At 51.5% G+C, this 26,422-nt stretch overlaps 1 protein-coding gene across 3 annotated transcripts in view, besides 6 other annotated features; it reads right to left on the reverse strand.

Annotated features, from left to right (window-relative positions):
• The window catches only part of WNT7A (Wnt family member 7A), a 63,814-nt gene that overhangs the window by 21,699 nt on the left and 15,693 nt on the right, over positions 1–26,422 (reverse strand). For all 3 annotated transcript variants that reach the window (NM_004625.4, XM_047448863.1, XM_011534091.3), the window contains one exon: positions 16,576–16,847. In NM_004625.4, the coding sequence (NP_004616.2) occupies positions 16,576–16,847 (272 nt within the window). The remainder of the gene's footprint in view (positions 1–16,575; positions 16,848–26,422) is intronic.
• Positions 12,456–12,750: an enhancer, noted in NCBI's record as "tiled region #1149; HepG2 Activating non-DNase unmatched - State 20:ReprD". NCBI's record gives its function as "activates a minimal TATA promoter and a strong SV40 promoter by Sharpr-MPRA in HepG2 cells {active_cell/tissue: HepG2}" and the evidence as "EXISTENCE:reporter gene assay evidence [ECO:0000049][PMID:27701403]".
• Positions 14,614–15,118: an enhancer, noted in NCBI's record as "H3K4me1 hESC enhancer chr3:13894067-13894571 (GRCh37/hg19 assembly coordinates)". NCBI's record gives its function as "activates a minimal SCP1, AML or CMV promoter by ChIP-STARR-seq in primed H9 embryonic stem cells {active_cell/tissue: H9 hESC(primed)}" and the evidence as "EXISTENCE:reporter gene assay evidence [ECO:0000049][PMID:30033119]".
• Positions 15,240–16,209: an enhancer, noted in NCBI's record as "H3K27ac-H3K4me1 hESC enhancer chr3:13894693-13895662 (GRCh37/hg19 assembly coordinates)". NCBI's record gives its function as "activates a minimal SCP1, AML or CMV promoter by ChIP-STARR-seq in primed H9 embryonic stem cells {active_cell/tissue: H9 hESC(primed)}" and the evidence as "EXISTENCE:reporter gene assay evidence [ECO:0000049][PMID:30033119]".
• Positions 15,240–17,177: a biological region, named in NCBI's record as "P300/CBP strongly-dependent group 1 enhancer GRCh37_chr3:13895244-13896443".
• Positions 15,791–16,990: an enhancer, noted in NCBI's record as "P300/CBP strongly-dependent group 1 enhancer chr3:13895244-13896443 (GRCh37/hg19 assembly coordinates)". NCBI's record gives its function as "activates an origin of replication core promoter dependent on BRD2, BRD4, P300/CBP, MED14 and CDK7 cofactors, with strong dependence on P300/CBP, by STARR-seq in HCT116 cells {active_cell/tissue: HCT116}" and the evidence as "EXISTENCE:reporter gene assay evidence [ECO:0000049][PMID:35650434]".
• Positions 16,210–17,177: an enhancer, noted in NCBI's record as "H3K27ac-H3K4me1 hESC enhancer chr3:13895663-13896630 (GRCh37/hg19 assembly coordinates)". NCBI's record gives its function as "activates a minimal SCP1, AML or CMV promoter by ChIP-STARR-seq in primed H9 embryonic stem cells {active_cell/tissue: H9 hESC(primed)}" and the evidence as "EXISTENCE:reporter gene assay evidence [ECO:0000049][PMID:30033119]".

Here is a 26,422-nt window from a genome sequence, read left to right on the forward strand (position 1 = left end):
CTGAACCAAGGTTCCACGCTGCCCCGCAACAGCCCCCGGATGTGTGTGCAAAGACACCTCTGAGATATTCTGTTCCTGCCTTTGGTGGTGTAGAGGTTTTCCAGTCGGGCAAATGGAAATACACCCCGGTTATCTCTATGCGTCTGCAGTTCCCAGCTGAGGGTGCGGTGGGGCCTCTTCCCCTGGGCAGAGCAGGTGGGGGGCATGGTTGAGAAATAACCAATTTCTCAGTGCTCTGAGCTACAAGGAGCTGCTGCAGGAGTGGAGACCCAGGGCCCAGAGGGACGTGGGTTTCTCTCTCAGCTGTGCGGCTTCGGGTCCTCACCCTCCTGCTGTCTCTGAGGTTCTGTCAGCACCATGTAGGCCTGCTGGCTGGTGCATGTGCAGGAGCAACAGTGGACCTGAAAGGTCCTCTGAAACCACGGTGTGCGGAAGGAACTGAAGACTCCCACAGCAGAGGAAGAGGTTTTAAAGTCCCTTCTTCAAGCCCCAGCTCTGCCACCTGTTGGCTGGGTCACCCTCAGGATACCACTTAACCTCTCTGAGCCTGGTCCTTCAACAAGAAAATCAGAGATTATGAACTACCTAAAAAACCATCTCAGGGCTGCTGTTGGGGCTGGCTCAGGCAGAGAACGGGAGGTACCCGACTCACAGGAGGGAGCTGGGAAAGGGCTTCAAGGGGACCTGGTTGGAGCCCCCAAAGTTTTGCAGGACTGCTCTGGACCAAGAATGCCAACTGGCTTAGGGACCCAGAGAGTAAAGCTGGGTCTCCCCAGCTAGTCTCAAAGGGCAACTCTCAGCTCGGATTCTGTAGGTATGGAGTGGACTTTCCAGAAGGTAGCGAGCTCCCTATCACCAGGGTACTCAAGCTGGATTTAGATCTGCATCCTCCAAAACGGGAGCCATGAGCAATATGGGTGCTTGAACTGTGGCTAGTCTGAATTGAGATGTGCTATGAGTGTGAAACAAATGCCAGACTTTAAAGACTTATTACAGAAAAATTAAAAAGTATCTCAGTATTTGCATATTGATTACATATTGAAATGATATGTAATCAATATCAGATAGATATTTGGGATATCTTAGATGAAATAAAATATCTTATTAAATTTAATGTCACCTCTTACCTTTTTGATGTAGCAACTAGCAAATGTCATATGACCCATGTGTTTGGTATTATGTTTCTACTGGACAGTGCTGGTTGAAATCCTTGCTGCTCAAGGTGTGGTTCCTGGACCAACCAGCACCATCCACATCACCTGGAAACTTGTCGGAAATGCAGAATCTCAGGCCCTGCCCCAGACCCACACATGGAACCGGGAGCTGCATTTCCACACATTCCCCAGGTGAATTTTGAGAAGCTGTGAAGAGCCTGAGGCTGGGGGTCTCAGAGGGGAGCCCAGATAGGGGGTGGGAGCACATGGCCTGAAGCCCAGCCCGTAACAGGTGAAATATTAAGTCATTGATGCCTTTGGCCCTTAGTCATACCCTCAGCCCATGGCGTCCTTTAAACCTAACCCTCACCAGGAAGTGCACACAGCTTTTAAGAAGAAAAGGGCAACTTTGCAAGGGATTCAGCTCTCTGGCTTAGCAATGAACGCTATCAGGGAATACACCAGGAGCTGGTCCATCTGTGACTTTTTAAAGCCTGGGAAATAATCTCAGAAAACAACTGAAAAATACATCTGTGTGTTTTAAAAACAAACAAACAAAACTTAACCGACCCCTTCCCCACTCTACCACCAAATTCCTCCTTCTTTTTCTCTCTGAAAACTTGGCCAACAAGCATTAAATGGCACTAAATATAGAAATGGTGAGCAAGTAAATCACTCAGAGGTGCCACATGTTGCCCAGGGCCTGTTTTACAGTTGAGTTGTAAACCATTGAGAGCGTGGATCTGTAATTAAAATGCTGACAGCCTCCCAACTGCCAAGCAGCCAGGAGGGAGCAGGGCTGGGAACCAGCAAGCAGGGGTGCAGGGAGGGTGGTGCCCTTCCTAACGCTGATCAGCCCGGGTTCAATGTCCTCCGCAGGCTTCCAAGATGCAGACAAACCCTTCTCTCACAGGGAAGCAGGGCCCTGCACTCCCCACTCTCTAACACATCTCTCTGTGACCTCCTCTCCTCCCTGACAGCCACACTGGCCTCTTTGCCTCTGGGCTCTGACCTTGCAATTCCCTCTGACTCAAATGCAATTCCCCAGATGGCTCATTTCCTCACTTCCTGTTCAGAACTTACCTTCTCCAGGAGGCCTCTCCTGATCGCCTAAAATAAAATGCCCCTGCTCCTGACATCTGTGCCCTCTCATCCTGCTTTGTTTGTTCATCATAGCATTTATAACTCTCTGACAACAGATTCCATATATATATTCTATTATTTGTTTGTTGTCTCCCTTCCCCCGGAATGTCAGCTCCATAAAGGCAAGTACCATGTCTAATCCCAGAGCCTAAAACAGTACCAGACGCATAAATAGGTGCTTAATAAATATTTGTTGAATGAATGAATGAACGAATGCATGGATTTCCATCCTTTCTTTCAGCTGATCTGGTGATCTCACTGGGAAAATGTCCAACTTTCCAGCAGTGAGCTCAGCTTTTTGCTCATCCATTCACCCAACCATCCTTCCAAATAGCTATTCATTCATCCATCCATCCATCCATCCATCCATCCATCCACCCATTCAGCCATCCATCTATCCTACTACCCAAACATCCATCCAACCATCTTCTAAGATCTGTCCGTTTAACCATCCATCCATCTATTCATTCATATTCCATTCATTCAACCAGCCTTCCCATTACTATCTATCTAGCAAATATCCATCCATCCATCTATCCATTTGTGCATGCATGCATGCATCCATCCATCCATCTATATATCCATCCATTCATCCTACCACTCAGCCATGCACTCATCCAAACCAATCCCCAAATGGTTAGAGCTCCTATCCTGGGGTCCCATAGTCCCCTACACACTCCTCTACCAAATCCAGTTCATGTTGTCATATTTACATGCAGTAATTCACTCTTCTCCTTCTGTCATTAGAATGTAATCCCCCTCAAATTCAAAAATGGTATATTATTTATCTCAGACCTCAGTGCCTAAAACAGAGCTGGCATATAGGGATTCGGCTCTCTGGCTTAGAAATGAACACAATCAGGGAATACACCAGGGGCTGGCCTCCTCTAACTTTTTAAAGGCTGGGAAATAATCTCAGGCGTCAGTGAATGGTTGCTGAATGAATATGATTTTCCTTTTCCCTTATTTACTTGTTCAGCGTTTCCCACTAGACTAAGCTTCCTGATGGCAGGAACCAGTTTTTAGTGATCTGTTCGTCTCTAAAACGTCGCACCTAAGGCAAAGAAGACACTCTATAAATTCTTAATGAATGAATAAGTGGATGAATACACAAAAGAGAGGAAGTAGAGCAAGAATGCAGCCTCTGGAGCTGGACTGCCTGAGTTCATATCCTGGCTCTTTGCTTATCAACTGTATGACTTTGGGCGAGTCGCTGAACCGCTCTGTGCCTCAGTTTCCTCATTTGTAAAAGGGAGACAATGCCAGGCTGATCTCATGGAGTTCTTATGAGAATTTTAGGAATTCATGCGTATGAAGTAATTAGAACAGTGCCTGGAGTAAGACAAAAGCTGTACAGGTATAAAATATTCATGTGCTGCTGGCCCACTGGAACAAATATCGAAGGCACAGAGGGGAAAAGGTGGGAGGGAAGCTTCTGTCTGGGCCTGTGCCGTTCCCACAGGAGGCCTTCTACAGCAGGCACTCTAACTTTTCCCAGCCACACTGGGATCACTTGGCAAAGTACCAATATTATATCAGGTGGCCATGAGTGCTACACAGAAAAACAAAACGTGGAAGGGAACAGGAAGCAGCGAGACAGACTGGAGGGTGAGTTCAAATATGGTGGTCAGGAAAGGCCTCCTTGAGAGGTGATATTTGAGAAAAGACTTGAGGAGGTGAGAGGGTAAGTGTCTGCAGGGAGAGCATTCCAGGCAGAGGGAACAGTAAGTGCAAGGGACCTGGGGCAGGGACATACCCAGTGTGTGTGAGGAGCCACAGGGAGACCGCTGCAGGGGGACAGAGAGAGCGAAGGGGAAGGAGACAGGGGTGAGGGAGGGGCCTGTGAGCCACCGTGAAGGCTTCTGTGTCTACTCTGGGTGAGATGGGAGCCATGGTGAGATTATAAGTGAGGGAGGCAGAGTTTAACTGACATTTGAAAAGCCTGCAGGGGCCCAAGTTAGTAGGCTGGTGTGTTCCTACAGGGAAGAGACGCTGATGGATAAGACCCTGGGGTAAGGGGACTGTCGTGCCACTGCAGGGGAGAGATGCTGGTGGATAGGACTCTGGGGTAAGGGAATTGTTTTGCTACTGCAGGGAAGAGATACTGGTGGGTAGAAACCTGGGGTAAGGGGACCGTTGTGCCACTGCAAGGAAGAGATGCTGGTGGATAGGACCCTGGGGCAAGGGGACAATTGTGCAATGTCAGGGAAGAGATGCTGGTGAATAGGACTCTGGGGCAGGGGACTGTTGTGTCACTGTAGGGAAGAGAGGCTGGTGGCTTGGATCATGAGCTCGGGGGTATAAGTTATTTGGTGACAGACTCTGGACAGATGTTGTAGGTAGAACTGACATGTTGGATGTGGGGTGTGAAAGAAAGAAAAGTGTCATGGCCAAGGCCAGGGCCAGGGTTTGGCTTACACAACTGGAAGGATGCAGATGCTATTTACTGAACCAGGGGATGGAGACAAAGGCACCAGCAAGTTTGTGGGAGAAAGATCAGGAGTTAGGTTGTGGTAGACGAGTGCTCATGGGCCAGTAGACATCCTGGAGCAGGGAGGCAGGATGGCAGCTGGATGCACAGGACTTGTGTTCGGGAGGCAGGTCTGGGCTGGAGACTGGACTTTATGGACAACTTTAAAGGTCCTGGAATGTGGTGTGTACTTGGGTATGTGTGGCATGGGGCTGAAAGGACAAGGGCAGAGGCCCCCTCTGGAAGTGGCTGCTCACAAGGACTGAAAGACCTAGGTGGACATCACCTATTTTGGATAAAGGAGGACCAGCGTGGCCTTGCCATGGCTTGGTGTCCTGTGGCCCTCCCTGCTCAGTGCAGCAAAAAATCTCAATGGCGACCTGGACCGCTCCTTCTCTTGAGTCTGCTAGCACACTCTACAGCCAGCGAATGGACAAAACAGAGTTTTAGAGCTAGAACAGTCCTTAGGAATAAGATGTAAGAATTAAAACTTGACTGTGGCTTTAAAATCACTACTACTACTGATACTAACAATGATATTCATAACAGCAATGACTGCTTTCCAAGCACTCATCATGCCTGAGAGCGTAGGACGAGGCACTCCAGGGGCATTATCTCATGCAATCTGCACAACAGCTCTGACAAGTACAAATCCTCACTGCCTTTTTTTCAATGAGGAAACTGAGGCTTGAGAAGGGTGACTGCCCAAGGGCACACAGCAAACAAGTGGCACAGTCGGGGCTCTGATCGGAGCTCTTTCCACATCCAGGTCATTCACACCTCCCCGCATGGTCTGGCCAGGAGCTCCTGACCTGCCTCCCATCCAAAACTCTCAGCCCAGCAGAGAACACCTCCGGGGGACTGAGCAGTACCCAACCAGAGCCTCAGCTGCCTCACCTGCAAAACGGGCACAATTACACTGCTCACCTGGAGGAAAGCTGTGAGACTTGGCCAGGAAAAGATGTTGAAAAAAAAAAAGGTCATGCAAATCATAAAGTGTTTTACCAATGTCATGTTGGAATCTTTTTTTTTTTTTCCCCTGAGATGGAGTCTCACTCTGTCTCCCAGGCTGGAGTGCAGTGGTGCAATCTCAGCTCACTGCAACCTCTGCCTCCTGGGTTCAATTGATTCTTCTGCCTCAGCCTCCCAAGTAGATGGGATTACAGGTGCCCGCCACCTTGTCCAGCTAACTTTTATATTTTTAGTAGAGATGGGTTTCTCCATGTTGGCCAGGCTGGTCTCAAACTCCTGAACTCAGGTGATCCACCCACCCTTGGCCTCCCAAAGTGCTGGGATTATAGGCGGGAGCCACCGTGCCTGGCCTTGTTGGAATCTTTATTATTTCAAAATGCTACCAATCCATCTAGGTCCAAAAATACACACACACACAATTGAGAGCTAAGAAGAGGCTGCACCAAGGATGAACAGAGCTTGGGTTGCAGAGTTGGGATGGCTGGAGGGAACCCTGGCTCAGATGCTTTTTACCTGGTCAACCTCAAGCACACCACTGAACTGCTCTGTGCCTTCAGTTTTCTTCATCTGTCAAGCAGGAATGACAATAGGCCCTTCCCTGTGAGATCATTTACAAAGAGCACTTGGGATGGGACCAGCACATGGAAGGGCAGGCCTTGAGAGGGGCACACAGTGCCTTGCAGTGAGCAGCTGAGTGCTGGCCTCACTGCCCATGCCCAGCTGGCTGGGAATCTGTCCCTTCCCCACCATGGCCTGGGGAGGCCCTGAGACCCTGAGTCCAGCTCTCCTGTCCAGGAGCCTGGGATGCTGCTCACGTTCACTGCCCAGACCTCAGCTGCCCATCTGAGAAATGGAGTTACCAAGGGTCCCCAAGGATGTCGGGCCAATCAAACGGAGTAACCCCAGGAAAGCACCTAGAACCCCACCTGGGACAGAGCGAGAGCAAGTGCTTGCCACTGTGAGCAGCCTTGACAGTGTCTCAACGCACACTGAAAGGAGGTAATTTAAAGAAGTGCCTTTGTCAGGCAAGGAGTCCTTCCTAGGGACACAGGTGCACCTGGATTTCTCTTCAAAAGACACAAGTGTTGAGGATTAGGAAAAGTGACAGCTGCCAACTCCTGGTGCCAGACCCTCCAGAACACCTAGTTTCTCCTTCCCTCTAGGACCACTCCTGCCCCTCTCCTCACCCACCTTCCTCCCATCACTTGGCTCCCCTCCCTCCCTCTTCCCGGCAGATTTGATAACACCCAGGAGTCCCAATCCCCCTCCCGAGGACAAAGGCGGCAATTGTCCCCGGTGTGCGTCTTTTGACTTGATCTCACTGTGGTGTAACTGAGCCCCTGACTCTACCTCACTTAGGGGGCTCTCAGGGCCTCGCCATGCTGCCCCCTCCCCATCTCAGGTGAGTTTCAAATGAGTTCCCAGCTGCAAGGCCAGCAGCCACACTGGGAATTCCTTCCAAGATAAATCAGATGGCCAGCATCTGGGACCCCCTTGGGCTGGCAGGAGGCCAGGGAGGTGACAGGATGAGCTTCCACCGCAGCTAAGACATTTTCAGGCCCCTTAGTAGTCAACGTCTCAGCCCTTACTCCGTGCCCGCCACTCTAAGAGAGTGATGTCCAACAGACCTTCCTGCCACCACGGAATGGTCTAGTAGGAAGCCACGAGCCACAGGTGGCTACCAAGCACTTGAAACATGGACTGTGAAATAGAATTTTTAATCTTATTTATTTGTAATTCATTTAAATTTAAGTAGCCCTATGTGGCTTGTGATCATATTGGACAGTGCAGCTATAAGCAGTTTAAATTCTTTTAATCATGTAATCTTCATAATACTCTATAGCGCTATTAAGTGTCCCTGGAGAAACTGAGGCACAGAGAGGCAGAGTAACATGGCCAAGGCCACACAGCTAGCAAGCAGCAAAGCCAGGAGTGGACTCCAGAGCCCACCTCACAGCACAGGGAGCACCTGCCTCTTGCCTGCCCCCTGTACACTCCTGGGAATGAGAAGGCAGGGACAGATGCACCCAGCCCTACTGCCTGTGGTGCTCTGGTGGCTGTTTGTGACATGGCCTAGGATGTGTGCCACTTTATGTCACCAAGAGTATGCCAGGCCCAGGCTGGGCTCTGAGAGACACCGAGGCGAGTCTCACGACTACCTGGAAGGATCGGAGGAGAAGAGAAGTCTCTCCCACTGCTGTTCATCAGGCTGAACAAGTCCAGAACTCTGCTAAAACAGGAGGTGCCCTGGTCCCTGCACCAGGTGTGGGTCTCTGTCTGGCCATCTCCTTGTCCAGTCTCATCCTGAACCCCCATGACAGCCTGGGGCCCCTCACCTGCCAAGGTGGCACACAGAATCCCCTCTTCTCACTCACAACCGGGTTCCTCCCTGGCCCTGATGTGTCCTCTCCCAGGCAGAAGGTGGTGGCTCAAGGACTGCCCCAAGGCCACAGTGACCAGAGTAGGAGAGGATGCACGTGTGCGTGCCTGGATAACCCACAACCCAAATGACCACATAGTGGGGCCTTCTAGGGGCCGAGGACTGTAGTCTCCAAATTCCTCAAATCAGAGCATCTGTGAATCTTAGGTTAACATCTTGGAATCACAGGGTTTCAGGATCAGGAGACTGTGGGGATAAAGGCATCTGAGTCCAAGACTCCTGAGGGTGGTAGGATAGTTTGAGGTTAAGACCTGGATCTGGAGCTAGGCTGCTTGGGTTTATATCCCAGCACAGCACCTGCCAGCTGTGTGGCATTAAGCAACTTTCTTAACCTCTCTGTGCTTCCGTTTTCTTATTTGTAAAACGGAGAGAACAGGGAATGTTGATCTCATAAGACTACTGTGGGGATTAAATTAGTATATATATTTCAAGTGCTGATATTAGAATCATGTCCATATTCTCCCAGCAAATGAAAACCTTCCCTCCACCTGTACCACCTGCTTTGATAGGGACTGCATCCTGCTTCCTGATAGCAAGTTCCTTCTCACTTGAGCTGCCTTTTCCCCATATTCTTCCATCCCGTGGGTCCTGGTCCTGCCTGCCACCCTCCTAACCACACCACCCCCAGTCCTCAGGGACTGCAGGATGGTGACACCTTCCTGAGGCTGCTCCACTCATGGCTGAGCCACCTGACTCCTTCCAGGCCTGGGTGTTCAGCGCCTCCTCAGGGCCTGCCCCGGCTGCCCACGTCCATCCAGGTTGGGGGTGGGGTGGTCTTACCAGCCCAGAGCAAAGTGGGATGCCAGGGACCAGGCTGCATGAAGCTGGGGTCACAGACGTTTCCAGTCTCTGTGGGAAGGGCCGCCCCTGCCCCTACCCATGCGGCCTCTCTTATCTCATCCCCTTCCTCCCCGGGTACTGTCCACTGCTATCACTGTGGCATCACTGACAGGACCTGGCTGGGCTCTGCCCTCGCTGTGTCATCAGAGAAAACTGGCAAAACCTCAGGCCTCGTGGGCACCCTCCGCCCCAGCCTGGGCTGGTCCCCCTCCAACCCATCCTTGGTAGCTTCCTCTCTGGTCTAGTCTGGGCTCCTTTCTCTAGGCCCAGACACCCTGGCCTGGTCATCCCACTAAGCTTTTCTCAAGCCCACCATGGACCTCCTGGTCCCTACCTCAGCCTCTCATCCAGCTCAGCTCCCCGACCCTGGCCAGCTCTAGGGAGCGGAAGGGAGGTCTGAGCCAGGAGCCAGGCCCTAGGTGCAGCTCTTGTTTCTCCACTCCCTTGGTGTGTGGCTTTGGCGGGGCCCCTCCAGTTCAGGGTCTCAGTCTCTCATTGATTAAATGCCCACAGAAGAGAGAATCTCCAGCTCTAAAACAATCCTACAGCTTTCCTTGGCACTGTCCCGAGGCCACCGTCCTTGACAGTGGAGGCTAGGGAGGGTTCCCGGATTTAGCACATAAATAGGCTGAAAAACGAAACCTGACCTAAACTTACACCTCATAGAAAAGTTAATTCAAAGCAATCACAGAACCTTTCAGACATTACGCTAACTGAAATAAGACAGACACAAAAGGACAAAAACTATATGATGCCTCTTATGTGGGGCGCCTAGAGCAGTCAGATTCAAAGAGACAGAAAGTGGAAAGGTGGGTGCCAGGGGCTGGGGTGGGGCGGGGGGACATGGGAGGTGGTTGTTTAACAGGGACAGAGTCTTCGTTTGGGAAGATGGTAAAGTTCTGGAGATGGAAAGTGGGGATGGCAGCACAACAGTGAGAGTGTGCTTGATGCCACTGGGGTGCACACCCAAGAATGCCTAACATGGCAAGTTTCATGCCAAGTATATTTTATCACAATTAAAAATAAATAAAAACGTAACATACAATTTAAAAAAGAAATTTTCATTGATTTTTTTAAATTAATGAATTTTTTAAAAAAAACAGGTCACAGAGTTAAATGCTAAACATAAAACTTTTAGGAAAAAAAATATGGCAAAATCTTTGGGATCTAGGGCTGAGCAAAGAGTTTTTAGATGATACCAAAGGTACAGTCCATTCAAAGAAAAATAGATACATTGGACCTTATCAGTTAAAACTTATCAAGGTTAAACACTTTTACTCTGTGAGAGACCCTATGAAGATGATAAAAAAGACAAGCTACAGTCTGGGAAAACATATTTGCCAACCGCATGTCTGACCAAATACTGGCTGCTAGAGTATATAAAGAAATATCCAAACTCACCAGTTAAAAAAGTAAACTACCTACTTAGAAAATAGGCAAAAAGACATTAACAGATGCTACACTGAAAAGGCTATCCAGATGGCAAATAAGCATATGAAAATATATTCAACATCATTAGCCATTCAGGAAATGCCAATCAATACCACAATGAGGTATAACATACATCTATCAGAATGGCAAAAAAATTTTAAAAACAGTGATGTCACCAAATGCTGGTGAGGATGTGGAGCAACTGTACCACTCACACATTGCTAGTGGGAATATAAAATGACACACCCACTCTCCCACAAAATGGAAAATGGTTTGGCACTTTCTTATAAAGCTAAACATACAGCCATCAGACATTTGTGCTCTTGGACATTTATTCTAGGGAAATAGAACCTTACATTCACACACACAAAAAAAAAACCTGTACACACATGGACACAGCAGCTTTATTTGTAATAGTCATAACCTGCAAACAACCCAGACATCCTTCAAGAGGTGAATGGCAAAACAAACTGTGGAGACTCTGTGCCCTGGAATACTACTCAGCAAGGTAAAGGAACCGGCTACTGATACACAACACTTGAAGGAGGCTTGAGGGAATTGTGCTGAATGAAAAGAAGCTCGTCTGGAAAGGTTATACTGTAAGACCCACCTATGTAACATCGTTAAAATAATGAAAGTATACAAGTGGAGAGCAAATTAGTGCTTGCTGGGGATTCGGAAGGGGAAGGGAAGTAGAAGTGGCTATACAAGGGCAACCTGGGGACCATTGTGTGCTCTGCATCTTGACTGTCCTAGCATCAGCATCCTAGTTGTGACCCTCGTCCTATAGTTTTGCAAGCTGTCACCATTGGGGGAAACTGGGCAAAGGGTACACAAGATCTCTTCATATTCCACAATTCCATGTGAATCTACAATTATCTCAATATCAGCTCAATTCAAAACCACAAACTTGGTTAAATCTGAATTTGAGATACATGGCGAATCATTTTTTAGTATGTCTTGTGCAATAGTTTGGACGTACTTTTGTTTATCTCAAATTCAACTCTAAGTGGGAGTCCTGTATTATACCTTGCAGCCCTGCTCCTGGAAATCCCCCCAAGACAGAGCAAGCACTTGCCATATCATTTGTTCACTCAACAAATATTTCTTGAGCACTTACGATGCGCCAGGCACTGTTCTAGGTTTAGGGGTGAACTTAGGCCATCACTACCCTGTGGTGCTGACCCTGCAGTGGGAGGCAACAAGCAATAAAGACACAAAGAGCTGTGCAAATGAGATCATTCTGTGCGGTGGTTTCACATGCAAGTAAAGTAGGGTGATGGAGAGAGATGAGACAGACAGCAGGGGAGGGAAGTCAGGGAGGACTTCCCCATTAAGGCAACATCTGAGCCAGGAATTGAAGGAATACAAGGAGCTAGTTCTGCAAAGATTCAAGGAAAGAGCTTTGCAGACAGAGAAAGCGGCCTGTGCAATGGCCCTGAGGTGCGAACAAGCTTGGTTGACTGCAGGAGTGTGTGGTTGGAAGGTGGTGTGTGTGGGAGAGAAGCTGCAGACAGGGTTGGGGTACAATGGTCCCAAGAACCCCATGTCATTCCCCAGCCCACATGTCAGACCTGGAGACCCTCCTGGGAGCAAAGGAAAGAAGCCCCTGCCATGGAAGAAACCAAGGCCCTGAAAGGCTGAGATGTGTGCAAGACCATTCCTGCTCCAAGTCCCCTGAGTCCTGGCTGCAAGCCTTTCCATTCGCAAGGGCAAGAACCCACACCTGTGCCCAGGGGCGGGGCAGGAATGGAGGGCACGGCAGACTGAGGATGCCTCCTTCCAGCCTGGCCTGGCCAGTCAGCTTCGGGCTGGGCGGGGCCTGGCTCCTCAGGCCCTCGACATGCCACCACTGGCCACTCTATCTGGTCAAATATGCAAGTGGCCCTCGGGACAGCAGAGAGGAGCATAGCTGAGCAGGCCTTATCTGGGCTCCGCCCCAGCTGCCAGGGGCTGGTCCCTGGTGTCCCCTGACTCACAGGCCTGCCTGCGGCCAGGGCAGGGGTGGGAATCCAGCTCCCAGGAGCACCCGGACCAGACGGGGCAGGGCAGGAAGGGACAAGACCGACACCCCTCCGTGTGCAAGAGGCTGGGCAGGGACTGGGAGGTGACTTTTCACTTCGGCGGAATTCCATCCCCCTGAGCTCACCTCCCTTGGAGCAAGAGGCGCATTCCAGCAGGGGCCAGCCCCGTCCCAGCTGGGCCCCCATCCCCAGGGCTGCCTCTCCTGGGCTCAGTCACCACACTCTCATGAAGGGGTTGCTGAGAGCCTCCACCCTCCCCCAGGCCCCCGGAGCTCCCTGGTGCACTTCTCTCTCTGTACAGTAAGGACTCGAAAGCCTGGCCTGCCAGGTACAATATTATCATGGAGGCTCGGAGACCCCTGGCCCTTGGCTGGGTTTCGCAGCTGCCCAGGCTTCTCTGCACTCCTGCAGGGGGATGTCTACACGCACTCACAAATGCACCCAGAAGGCCCAGGTTCTTCTGGTTCTCCTCCAACCTCCCTGACTGTCCTTCCCTTCCCATAGCCCTCCCGTCCCAGTACCCATTTGCCCAGGCTGTGGCCCAGGCTCTCTCCTGCTTTCCCCCTTTAACCCTCCCATCGGGCAATCCTACAAACACCATGGCTTCCATTACGACCCTGTTCCTCCACACCAAGTACACCTGACACATCTCCTACCTATTAGGCTTCCTAAACAGCCTCCCCAGCCGTGCGCCCCGAGGCTCCTGCTGGGTTTAGGCACCAACCGTGGCCACAGCCCCTTCACTCTGTACTCCACTCTATCCCAGACAGGGCCAGAAACCTGCCCAAGCACTGCCCCACCAAAGCCTCTTCTGGGCACCTCTGGCCTAAGACAAAGTCCCACTCCTTGTTCTGGCATTCAAGGCTGTGTGTTAGGATCTAGCCCCTCTGCAGCCTCGTCACTCGTCCTCCCCACCCTCGGCCACACGGAGCCCCCACAGCATGCTGTTAGGACTTCATGCTTTTGAACATGCCTGTGCTGCCTGAACTGCCCTCTTCCTTCCTGATGCCTCGTCCACCTGGACTCCTTATCCTTCAAAGCCCTGCTAAGAGTTCCCTTCTTCTGCCTAGCACTCTTAGACTTCAAGAGGAAACAAACCACTCTTCCTCTGACCTCTTTTCTTCACTTTCTGTATCACGTTTCTCCTACAGTGTGTAGCCCTGAATCACAATTTTTGCTTCTTGTACCTGATTCTCTCACTAGACTGAACGTCTAGTCTTGAGGGCAAAAACTGTGGGTAGTTAATTTCCTTGCGGCCAAAAGGCTGGAAAGAAATTATTCAAAGCCACAAAGATTCCACCATCCAAAGATTTCAGCACAATGCTTCTGACTCTTCCCTTCCTCCCAACTGAGGAGCCTATGATTCCACACATCATACGCTAGGATGTGAACTTCGTATTCTGGGACCCCCGACCTGAGCGGCCACTGATTTCAATCCAAAGTACAAAGGCCCCGAAATGCCAATAGGGGAAACTATAATTCTAAAATCACCTCGCCAAAAGATATTGGCACCTAACCATTCTGATTCGGCCTGCAGACCACACAATTGACGAGACAATGAGGGAAAGGAGGGGATGCCCTGCAGCTTCCTTGCGGTGTTGCCCCTGCCCCATGGCCCACATCCTGCTGGGCTTAGACTCAAACTGGGGACCTGTGAGGGCAGGACGCCCCTGCAGCATTTATTCTCCTTCGACTGCCAGGGGAGTTGGGGGCTCCCCTTCAGCCCAGGGGCAGCCCCTCATCAGGTCTGCAGAAGCCACATGGTGCACCCCCCCACCCCAGCCTCCCCGCTTCCCCTTCTCTCACACCAGCTGCCAACAAGCCCCAGAGCCTGTGGTCAGGTTGAGTCTTGTTTCCTCATGGCAGGAGTGAGGGAGCGGGTGATAAACACATCTGCGAGCCTTTCCGAGGCTCTCAGCCAGGAGCAGCAGTAGGCTGGCCCCATTGCTCCTGTCGGTTTCCCAGCCCTGCCATGCGTGGAGCCCATGGCAGCCTGTTGGGAGGGGGCTTCTGGGGTGGGGTCCCATGCCTTTGAGTAAATGGCGTGTTGCAAAATCCTGGGGAACTGACTGGCACCGGTCGGAACAAGGAGTGGGTCATAGTCCCAATCGACAGATGTGGAAACTGAGGTCGCAAGAGGGGCTGGAACCCACAGCAGCTGGCGGCTGTCTTTGTTCCTGCCCTCGTCGGGGCCCTTGGGGTGTCCCATGGCAGCAAGTGAGGGACTGGCCACTTGGGGCTAGGCTGGAAGACCACCTCACCGTGCTCTGGCTGAGTGGTGTGTGTGGTCACTGACCTGAGTCCCCACAGGTCAGCTGGTACCCTCTCTGAGCCTCCATTTCCATCCCTGTAGCACAAAGGGGCGGGACGGGTGTGACTCAGCCCTTTCTCTGCATACACCGGGGAGTCCACAGTCCCACCTCTTGGCTCAGGAAATACATAGTGTCTGTAGAAGTGCTTTTCTAGAAAGCCATCCCCAAAGGTCCTCCCTAACCAGAGAGCACTGGGCAGGCAGGAGGATGTATGGCCCTCTACTGAGCTTTCCTGAGATGGGAGGGCTGTTCCTGCTCAAAAACATCAGGTCAGGCCTGGCCTGCACTCCACTCATACCCAGCTCCTGACCCCACTCAAAGTAGCCCTCTGCCTCCCAAGGGTCTATGACTTCTGCCCCACAGTGGCTCCCCAGCAACCACAAGGCACTCATCCATTCACTCCATACATATTTGTAGAGTGCCTACTGTGTGCCACGCTCTGGAGTGCTGCTGTGTCTGAGACAGCCCAGGCCTCTGTCCTCGGTATGCTTAAAGTCTAGAGAGGGGAGAAAGCCACGGAACAAGGCAAACTCGGAGAAAAGGCTAGGAAGGAATGTAAAGGGAAACCTCTCTGGGGAGAGGACATCATGGCTGAAACCTGAAGGACAAGGACATGGCAGCCACAGGCAGATCTGGGGGCAGAACACAAGGCTGCACTCTTCGGCCCCAACCTGCAGGGGTTCCCTTTTCAGGGCCTCACAGACTAGCCAGTGTGGTCCCTAACTGGCCCCCTGCCCCTACCTCTGGGTCTGTGTCCATTCCTCCCCCACTCACCAGATCTTGGCTGCTTCCACCTCCTTTCCCTGCCTAGCCAAACCTCGCTCATCTCTCGAGGCCTGTCTCCTCCAGGAAGCCCACTGAGATTGGTCTTACAGCCTCTGACAGTTCCCAGTGTCTGTGTTGCCCACGGGCTCATGGCAGTATGACAGAGCAACAGCCACAAGCCTCATGCCCAGTGGAGCTGTGTGGCTCACAGAACACACTCCCACGGGATCCATCCTGACCCTGACTTGCTGCGGGCCACGTGCTATTCTCTCCTTTAATTCTCACCATGGCCCAGCCAGGGAGCCGTGGGTGAGGAAATTGAGGCTGGGAGAGGGAAGCCACGTGTCCTCCTCCTGTCTGCCTCAAGGAAGTGAGGGCTTCAAGGCAGGAGGGAGCCTGGGACCTGGGACCTGCAGGGTGATTGGACCACAAAAACAGGGAGGAGGGAGCAGCTGGGACCACTGCAGGGATGCACCACCCTGGGCAGGAGCTCCCAGCCATGAGACTAGACAGGCAGGGCCTGGTAATTTCCCCCAGGACACCATCCTGGGGCAGACCAGGTGAGCAATTCCCCTGTGTGACTCACCAAGGCCACCTGTGAGGCTCTGACACACAGGATGTGGCCAGAAGCCTGAGAAGAGGGAGGAAGGGAAGGAGGGACGGAGGGAAGGAGGGAGGGAGGGAGAGAAAAAAGGAGGGAGAGAGGCAGGAAGGGAGCAAGGGAGAAAGGCTAATTTGGTCCCTCCCAAGGATAAGAGTTCACATCTGTCCCTCTTTCCATCTTGCTGAGTAACATTCAATTCGTCTTAAGGCAGACTCAATTATCCAACCTCTTCAGTAACTGACAAGCTTCGTGCCATACACAAATCCTGACCAGCTACAAGCTGATGCCAGCACCAAGCAGAATGAGGCTGAGGGCAGAGCCCTGTGGCTCCTCAACAGACACCCAGCACCAGATGTTACAAACAAGCCATTTTGCAGCATCTCCGCGAGCGCCGCCCAGCTGCCCTCCCTGGCTTCCTACCTTTCGGCCTGCCTCGTTGTTGTGCAAGTTCATGAGAGTCCGGGCATTCTGCTTGATCTCCCGGGCATCCACAAAGACCTTGGCGAAGCCGATGCCGTAGCGGATGTCGGCAGAGCAGCCACCCCACTTCCAGCCCTCGTCCCGGTGGTACTGGCCTTGCTTCTCTTTGTCGCAGCCACAGTCGCTCAGGTTGCCCTGGGTACAGGCAGCTGTGATGGCGTGGGCCACGCCGGCGGCAATGATGGCGTAGGTGAACGCAGCCTCCCGGCTCCCTGCGAGGAGGAGAGAAGAGGAGACAAGTTGGGGTCAGGTCCCAAGCATCTGAGAGGAGGCTGGGCCTGACTGAAGAGTGAGGCTGAGCTCAATGCAATGGCTCTCCAAAGCTCGACTGAGTACCCGTTCCTAACTTCCAACAAAGCTCCCTTTTAGGGTGATGAGCTGAGCACCTCCCATTACACACACATCCATTCAACCCCAGAACCTGGGGAGTCAACTGGGCAGTAAAGGAGGAAGGTATGTGGGCTGGTTGCCCAGGATCTGGAAGGCCAGATGTGGGGGACCCCTCTAGCCCATCAGTCCCCACTCCCCACTCCTGAGCACACTTGACGTAACCATGTAAACTGCACACGTGCATAAAGCTCACAGCATCGTAAAGCAGCGTTTCCCCAACACCCACAGAGGACACTGGCTCTGGGGCCAGAAGGCCTGAGTTTAAATCCCAGGAACATCAATCCCTGGATCTGTGACTATTGGCCAAGGACTACTCCTCCCTGCATCTCAGTCTCTCTGGCTGTAAAATGGGGACATATCATTGGTAACTTTCTCATGGCAATGAGGGAGAATGAGTTTGTCCATGGAAAGCTCTTGGCCCCATGTTTCATTCATGGAACCTGACTGCACCCTACCTCTTGTTTTCGTGGCCACTACTACTCTTTCTGTGTGTCACCTGCTATTTCAGATGTCCATCCCCTCCCTTCTTCTGTGGCCCCCTCACTGGACTGTGAGTATCTCCAGTGGTAGGGCAGGGTCCTGAGCAGCTGGGGTGCAGGAGACAGCGTGGGACAGGCAGTCACTCAGAGTTGGCCTAAATATGGTGCTGCCACCTCGCCTCTTAGCCTCTTTGGGCCTCAGTCTCCTCACCTGCAAAATGGGTTCAAGGGCTACGTCTGCTTTACAGGGTGAAGACTGACCAAAGCAACCTATGGGAAGCCCTGTGTGTGGTATAAGCCCTGAGGAGCACTGGGCAAGTTCACTCTCATGTAGCCTGGGTGGGTTTCAGGGAAGGCACCTGGAAGAAGAGGCCCTGGAACCCAGAGCAGGCAAAGGGGGGCCAGAGAAGGTGTTTCAGAATGCCAGGATGGAGACGGCTTAAGCAGCAAGTGAGGAGGCAGATGACTTGCTCCAAGTTGCTTCCAGCCTCAGGTCACTCTGTCCCATGCTCAGGGAGGTCCTTCCCCACCCACCTTCTCATTCACCTTGGGACCTCCCTCCCCAGGAGGGGGAGACAGACACAAACAACTTGTCCCCCCACCCCATCGCTGCCCTCCCACCCTGCAGAAGGTAGGCCTGTCCACCTGCTGGACTGGACAGCTTCCCCATGCCAGGGCTGTCTTTGCCGTGGCGTGCCATGCCAGCCCACCCATGGTGTCCCTGCTAACACAGAGGCTCTGGAGTCAGAATGCTTGGGCTCAAGTCCCAGCTCCGCCACTGACTGACTGGGACTTGGGCGAGCTCCTTCTCCTGTCCGCATCTCAGTCTGGAGAGTGCCAGCGCCTGCCTGACAGGAGCTGCTGAGAAGGTACAGGAGAAGGGGGCATGTCAAATGCAGAAATGCATAGCCAGTGCCTGGCTCCACAAACATGAAACTTGGCACCAAGTGGAATGAAGCCCCTGGGGAACTCAGCTCAACTTTGGGGGTCGGGAAAGGGTATTATTTTAGCACCTACCGGGCTCGCAACTCTCTGCATTAGTCATTTCCTTAGTACTAGAAAACATCTCTGAGGGGGCCAGGCATGGTGGCTTACGCCTGTAATCCCAGTACTTTGGGAGGCTGAGGTGGGCAGATCACTTTAGGTCAGGAGTTCAAGACCAGCCTGGCCAACATGGTGAAACTCTGTCTTTGCTAAAAATACAAAAATTAGCTGGGCATGGTGACACATGCTTGTAATCCCAGCTACTTGGGAAACTGAGGCAGGAGAATTGCTTGAACCTGGGAGGTGGAGGTTGCAGTGAACCAAGACTGTGCCACTGCACTCCATCCTGGGTGACAGAGCGAAACTCCATGAAGAAGAAGAAGATGAAGGAGAAGAAGAAGAAGAGGAAGAAGAGGAAGAGGAAGAGGAAGAAGAGGAAGAAGAAGAAAAAGAAGAAGAAGAAGAAGAAGAAGAAGAAGAAGAAGAAGAAGAAGAAGAAGAAGAAGAAGAAGAAGAAGAAGAAGGAGAAGAAGAAGAAGAAGGAGAAGAAGAAGAAGAAGAAGGAAGAAAACATCTCTGAGTAACACACGCCCATCAGAGGGACTAGCACAGGGCAGCAAGGACAGGGGAGCCATGGGGCACAGGAACAGGCTCGATTTCTGGTCCAGCAATAAAACCCAACAATGCCTTTGCTGCATGAAATCAAGAAATGCTGTGTAAGATCTGCATGCTGGACCAGGCCATAGGAGGACAAGGGAAGCTGTCTCAGCCACAGGTTGAAGACAGAACTGCCAGCAAGATAGGTGGGAATAGACGCATGTTGCTGAGCTCTGCCAAGGAGGGAGCTTTGGAATTAAGCCCATGAGGTGTCAGGAGACCAGGCTTTGAGTGCTGCTGAGGCAGGGCCTTGGTAAAGAGATAGAGCCTCATGGATAGATCCTCGGGCAAAGAAACGGCAGACAGACAGGAAAAGTCTGCACCTGTCCCCACCCTCCAGCAAAGCTAGACAGGCACACAGGTCCACACCAGCCAGCGCAGGAGGTGGGCAGGTGGGGTTGGAGGAAGCCAGAATCTCCTGGAAATTGATCGCCACTTCCTGCATTTGCATAGATTTGAGGCTCAAATATATCCCCCTGCATGCTCCAAGGGCTCCAAGGCAAGTGGGAAGACTCACCCCCGGTCCAGTGATTCCCCGAGAGCCTAGAAGAGCAAAGAGAAAGCTCTCCAACCCCAGGCACCAGCTCACACTCGAGAGTATCAAACTCACAAGAAAACCAAACCCTCAGGGAGACAGTCAATATCCAGAATAGACCCTCAAGGACGTGAGAGAAAAGGACAATCAGATGGAGGGCAGGGAAGAAATCTGTTCCACTGCTTTCCAGCTGTGTGACCTTGGGTGAGTCACCTAACCTCTCTGTGCTCCAGTTCCCCCATTGTAAAATGTGATGATAAAAATTAACAATGGTAGAGCACTTAGCACAGAGGTTGGCATGAGGAAGTGGCCCCAAATGCTCCAATTATAACAATTCTTATCTATGATGGAGGTAACAAGTCTCTACAAGTACAAGAGGGCTGAGAGGTAAGGAGTAGGGCTTTTCTTTTACAATCGAAGACACAAAGGCTTTTGGCTTGCCTGGGACACCCAACATGTGGGCAGCAGAGCTGAGCTGCAGACCCGGCCTCTGGGCACCCCATGTAGACCAAGAACTGCCCCCAGGGATGAAATGATTCCCAGGTGCAGTGGGCAGGCACCACCGGCAGGCTCCAGCCATTGATGGGAGACTGTGTCCTCTTTATCAGACCAAGAATGGAGTTTGCGAATCAAGGCGGGGCAGAAAGCCTGGCCTGTCCTCAAAGACTGGCCCCTCTCCCTTGGTTTCTCCCTGGGGAAGGGGCAGGAGGCAGAGGAGGGGGCTGTCAGCCCAAGACTCCTGTGGTAATTTCGTGTGTCCTCTGCTCTACAGCCCAGTGGTGACCGTCCCTGGGTCTCTCAGTCTCTGGAGCAGTGCATGATGGTGCAGATGGTGAGAAATGGACAGCTAACCACAGATGGCTTCCACCCACTCACCATTTCCATCCCACCCCTGAGGTGGGGAAGGGCAGCTGCACCTTGGGGCACATTTCACCCCCCCGAGCTCCAGATGGAGAGCTTTCTTCCCCACAGCCCAGAGTGAGGTCTCATCAAGTGCCATGGCCTTCCCCTCCCCACCAAGCTGGGCTTCCTCAGCACCCACTGCCCCTGACAAGCGAAGGCTGTAGTCAAGACACCGATGAGGGCCAGTCATTCTTGGCTTCAGAGCTCTCAGGGACCCAGGTACTGGCTGGTAAAGTCCAGTCCTTCTGGATGTGGAAGAGTCACTTTTGACTCTTGCCATTAACTTTGACGTTGGCCTTACCTGCCCACATTAGACTGGGATGATCCAATCCCACTCCACCCCCACACTACCATGGAGGAAACTACCCTGGGCATCCAGCTGGCTGTGTGACTAACGTCAGGGCTGTTAACCTCTTTGACCCTTCGTTGCTTCCTCTGTGAAATGGGTACAATTACACAGCACCTATGTGTCTAAGTGAACTGAATTACAAAACAAGGGGTGTTGAGCGGTGCTGAGCACAGTGCCTGGCATGCCGTGAGTGCTCAGTAAACATCAGCCGTTGCGTTGTAGTTTTGTTGTTGTTACTATCACCGAGTCCCATTTCACAATGTCCTGAAGGTCACAGCAGAGAGGCAAGTATGTGAGGCTGATCCAGTGTTTGTCTGCCCAGGCAAATTTAAGGTTTACAAGATGACAGGGACCATATCTGTCACTCCCACCGTCTCCAACCTCCTCCAAAATGTGTGAGGGGTGAGACAGACCTGAGTCCTAATTTCAACCCTGCCAAAAGCTGTGTGACCTTGGGCAAGTCACTTAACCTCTCTGAGCCTCCATTTCCTCATCTGTTATTAGCACCTACCCTGTAGGAAGAGGTAGACATCACCTGGCACCTAGCAGGTACTTAAACAAATAGTAGTGAGCATTATAATTATAATAATTGATGAAATTATAGGTGCCACTGGGTGGTACAGAGAAGAACTTGCCCTGCATCTGTTTTATCCATGGCCCTTATTGCTCCCTGCCATTTTAGACTTAGCTGCTGATTATCTGTTCCCCATACCAGCCCTACCACCATGACCCCTGTCCCTCTCGGATATAATTGCTTTGAAGATAAGCACTTTGTCATGGCCCTTGCTGTGTCCTCAGGGCCTGGCACAGAGTAGGTACCCAGTAAATAGCAGTGGAATGAATAAATGAATGAAAGAAAGCTCTGACTTGGTCTCCACAGACTGTGTGCCTTCAACCACATGGTCTTTCTTGGGTGCTTTTTGTTTGCCAGACTCCATGCTCAGCATGTTAGAAGAGAATGCCCATCTATTCCCTAGGAAAGCAACCCTCAAGGGAGGTAATAACAGCCTCTCTGCTTTACAGATGGGGGAACTGAGGCTCCAAGAGGATCTAACCAGGCAGGTGTGGAACCTGTGATAAACTCCAGCCCCTTATAGCCCATCTCCTAGCCCATTCATCAAATCAAGACTGCCCCAAGGCATGAGCACAGAGTTAGCCAGACACTTGGGTTTTTTTTTTTAAGGAAGATGGGAAAGAGTAGAGAGAAGGTAACATTTGTTGGGCACCTCCTAGGTTCCGGACCCATGCTTGGTCCTCTGTGAAGGTGTTTCACAACATTCCCCAGTGTAGATGTCATTCCCCATGGTTTTACAGTTGAGGAAATGGAGGCTCTGAGTTAGAGTGATTTGCTGAGGTCACCCAGCTAGAAACTGGCCAGAACTGGAATTCAAGGCCCAAGTTGGTCTGTGTCCTTCCTCAGCCCCACCCCAGCTCCCTTCCTGGCCCACCAGTGCATGGAAACCCCATGGTTAGAGATTCTTCTGGCTTAAGACATCAACTCTTGTCAGAATGCACTTACTTCTAAAACGAGATGGCATTCAGTTGTTATCAATTAAAACTTATCAATAAATAATTTATCAAAACCATTCAAATCGGATGGCTTGCTGAGCTGAGAACAGGGTTTGATGGTAGAAAGCAGAAAAGCCTCCTGGAATCTTAAAATAAATCTCAGACTCCATCCATGTCTGCTTCCTTTACTCATCCTAGGTAAGATAGGGAAACTGAGGCTTGGGGAGATGAGGTGACTTGCCCAGGAAGAGTTAGGATGCAAATCTGGAGGTCACCTGCTGTGCCTAACCACTCCAGAGAACTCCCTTGGACCCTGGTCATGCTCACTGCTCCGAGAACAGCCCTTCTCTCAGCTGTACGGGGAAGCCCCTTCATTCAGGTGGGTAATTTCCCGAATGCCTAAGATAAATGCCTCATTTATCTTAGGAGACACCTGCAAGGGTGGTCTGTTCTATTGCTGTGGAAATGGGATGAGATCATATGTCCAATGACATATAGTACATAAAAAGCTGAGCAAAGACATACAAAATGTTTCTTATTCACCAGGCTCTGTTCTAAGCACTGAATATAGATCTACAATATATGGCAACAACGTGGGAGGTGGGGGCTGCTATTATCTCCATTTTACAGATGCAGAAACTGAGGCCCATGTGATACAACCTGTAAGGACTCAAACTCGTACAGCTGGCCCCAGAGTTTGACCCACTCCCTTGCCTCAAGGTTTTGAAAACCATTCCAGTCCTACTGACTCCAGGCCTACATTCTTGCCCAGATCATCCATGTGGAGCCTGTGAGTGAACCCTGGGCTTGGCCACCATGGCCTGTGTGCCCTCCAGGATCAGATCCTCCACCCCTGGCAGTGGGGACAGTCTGCTGTGAAGGACCTGCCCCTCCCTCCTGCCCAGGAGCAGAGGAAGAACCTCCCTCAAATCCTGCCTTCCCCTCCACCTCCCTGACCAAGCCGTCTGTTCCTTCACTCATCAGATATTTCTTGAGCATCTACTATGTGCCAGGCACTGTTCTAGGGCATGAGGAAACTCAGATGAGGAGTTCAGACATGGCTTTGCCTTCGTAGAAGGACAGGCAGTAGGATCATGCCACTCCGTGGCAGCTGAGGACTTTGAAGAAGGTGACACAGGGCAGTGATGGGAGTGGGGATATCTGGGGTGGTGCCTTGAGTGGGGAGGTCATGAGGCTCTCTAGGGGCAAAGAAGGCATCAGGCCAAGGGGTAGCCTGAGTGATGGCCCTGGTGTGGTGTGGTCAGCTAGTGGCGGGAGCAGGTGAGCCAGGGCGGCACCGGAGGAGGTGAGGCTGTGGGCGGGTGTGGATTCTGCCAGCCCTTCCTCTCCCCAGAATCAGAGAAGAGATTCCTAGAGCCACAGAAACAAAGCCAGGGGGCTCCTACTGGAATGATAGCTTCAAGGAGAATGGGAGACTTGCTCAAGGTCACCAGTGACTCAGCAAGACCAGAAGATCCCCTGGCTCCCTCACCTCCCCCATGCCCTCCTTACCTCTCAATCCATCCACATCTCCAGGTAAACTTTTCATCCAGAAGCCAAGAGACCTTCCCTCCTGTGATATCCCAGGTGACTTCAGCTCAGAACTCAGATAAGACAAAACCCGTCAGTCCCTCCTGTCTACTTCTCATTCACTGGGGGAGCCCCAAGCAAGGACTCTGCCTCTCTGAGTCTCAGCTTCCCCATCTGTGAAGTGGGAACCCTTAGGAGGACATTGCCAAGTTGTGAAAATTAAATGAGACCACTGTGGAATGAAGCCTCTATGGAGCTCCCAGAAGGTGCTGGATAAAGAACGATACATATTATCACTGAGACGAAAATGGGGAGCCCAGCTGACGCCCTCTGTGGTTCCAGCTCCATAACGATCCCAGCGGGTACAGAGGAAATAAACTGATGTCCAAGCCTGCCCAAAAGATTCCATTCCACCGCCCTGTGTAGCCACTGTAAATGGTTTGCACCGGAATATTATCTGGGTGTATTTACGGTATCTTACTGGAAACCACAAAGTGCATTGTATTTTTTTTTCTTTTGCTATTTAAAGCCAATGGGTCAGAGAGCAAGCAATCTGCAGTGACACAAGCTGAAATATATGATTTGGAAAATATACAGATGGAAAAAGGTTGCGCTTGCCAGCCCCGTGGCATGGCAGTTCATAGCCCCTCTGGGCTCAGAATGCCACATGGGGCTGTCTCACCAAGAGGAACCAGGGAGCCTCTCAATGAATAACTGGAAGATTTGGGGGTGCAGGGAGCTGTGTCTGGGCGGAGCTTGGTAAGGTAACAGGCCCACAGCTCGGGAAACTGGGGAGGGGTGTGTGCAAGCCCCAGCCTCTGTCTTTCTCCATCCAAGGGTCTCTCTTCCCACTGAGCAAGGCCAGAGCACACTGCTGACCACTTGCCAATGGTCAGCATCTACTCCTTCCTGGCTTCACGCCTTTGCACATGCTGTTCCCTCAGCCTGCAATTGTCTTTCTTATTCCATCTGCCTGCTAAGGGGCAGTGAATGTAGCCCAGGAAGTTTTAAAACAGAGCCCTGGAGGTGGATAAATCTGGGTTCACATCCTGACCCCCTCTTCCTGACAGCGGGACCTTGAATGAGCTAACTCACCTCTCAAGGCCTCAGTTTCCTCATTTGTAAAGTGGGAATACAAAATGTCTACCTCCCAGGGTTGTTGGGAGGATTAAATAAGCCAATGCACATGACAAGCTCAGCCCGCACTTGGTAAGGGATCGATAAACAGTAGCTCTTACTAGATGCGTTATTGGTTAGCACCTTATCCATCAAGCCATGGCTCCCAAGTTCCCTACTCTGAGGGGCCTCCCAGATGTCCCCTCCCTCCACCTGTGGCCCAGCACCCTGTCCATCCTTACTTTGTATTGAATTGAATGATCAGTCTCTCGCCACTAGGTTGTGGGGACCTGGATTATTTATCTGTGAAGCCTCAACAGTTGAATGAATGAATGAATGTGCATGTGAAAGCAAGTGTGTGTGTGTGTATGTGTATATGTGTGTGTGTGTATGTGTATATGTGTGTGTGTGTCTGCATGTTGCATGCGCACGCACGCCTGCCTGCCTGCCTGTCTACCACATGAAAGCTGGGAAGAGAACATTATAACAAAAGAGTCATCTCAGAGAATAGTGTCAGGAGAGCTAAAACCCAGGATGAACTGAGGCTTGCAAAAAAAAAATGCAAACGAGACAAAAAGTCCTTTGTTAGCTGCATTCTAAGCAAGAATAAGGAAAGAATAGGTCTTTTGCTTGGGCAAGATGGCGTATTGTTAAGAAATGGCAGAGAGAAAATGGAGCTGGCCCGCCCCTTGCTTCTGTCTCTCTCACTGGAAAGGTCTTCAAATCCATCCTTCTAAGCATTCACCAGCTCACCAGACATGTGTTGCACTCTCACAGCCCTAGATGGGTAAAATGATGGAGTCCTTTTTGCAGAGTGTGGGGATCCCCAGACATGGGACCCTCAGCCCAGGCAGTCACCTTGGGGAGAGGAGAGAGCTGCTCAAGTGACTGCCCAAGAGAAGTGGTGACAAATTCTACAGAGGCAGAAGCCCAGAAATGCATCAGAGTTTCCCAGATTGTAGACAGAGGAGGGTGGACTCCAGGGGTTGACTCCTAGGTCATTTGTGCCCATCCCTGGAAAAATTCCGGCAGGGGGGTACCAAACAGGAGGTCGTGAGCATGTGGAAAAGAATGCACCCATCCCCAGGAGCACATGGCGGGAAATCACCATTTCTTTGCCGATGATAATGCTGGAGACATAGCAATGTTCTGTGTGTGCAAAGAATTTGATTATCTTCCTACATCCTGTCTCTCCTCTGATTAAATACCTCTGACAACTTCCCTCCCAAGCAAACCCCCTGAGTCTGGTCCCAAAACCCTGCAGGATGCCTGGTCCCACCTCTTTCCCCAGCCTCTTCTACCCTCCCTACGCTACGCCCTGCAGTCCCTCGTGCC

The sequence above is a fragment of the Homo sapiens genome, chromosome 3, assembly GCF_000001405.40.
Source record: "Homo sapiens chromosome 3, GRCh38.p14 Primary Assembly".
Lineage (NCBI taxonomy): Eukaryota > Metazoa > Chordata > Mammalia > Primates > Hominidae > Homo > Homo sapiens.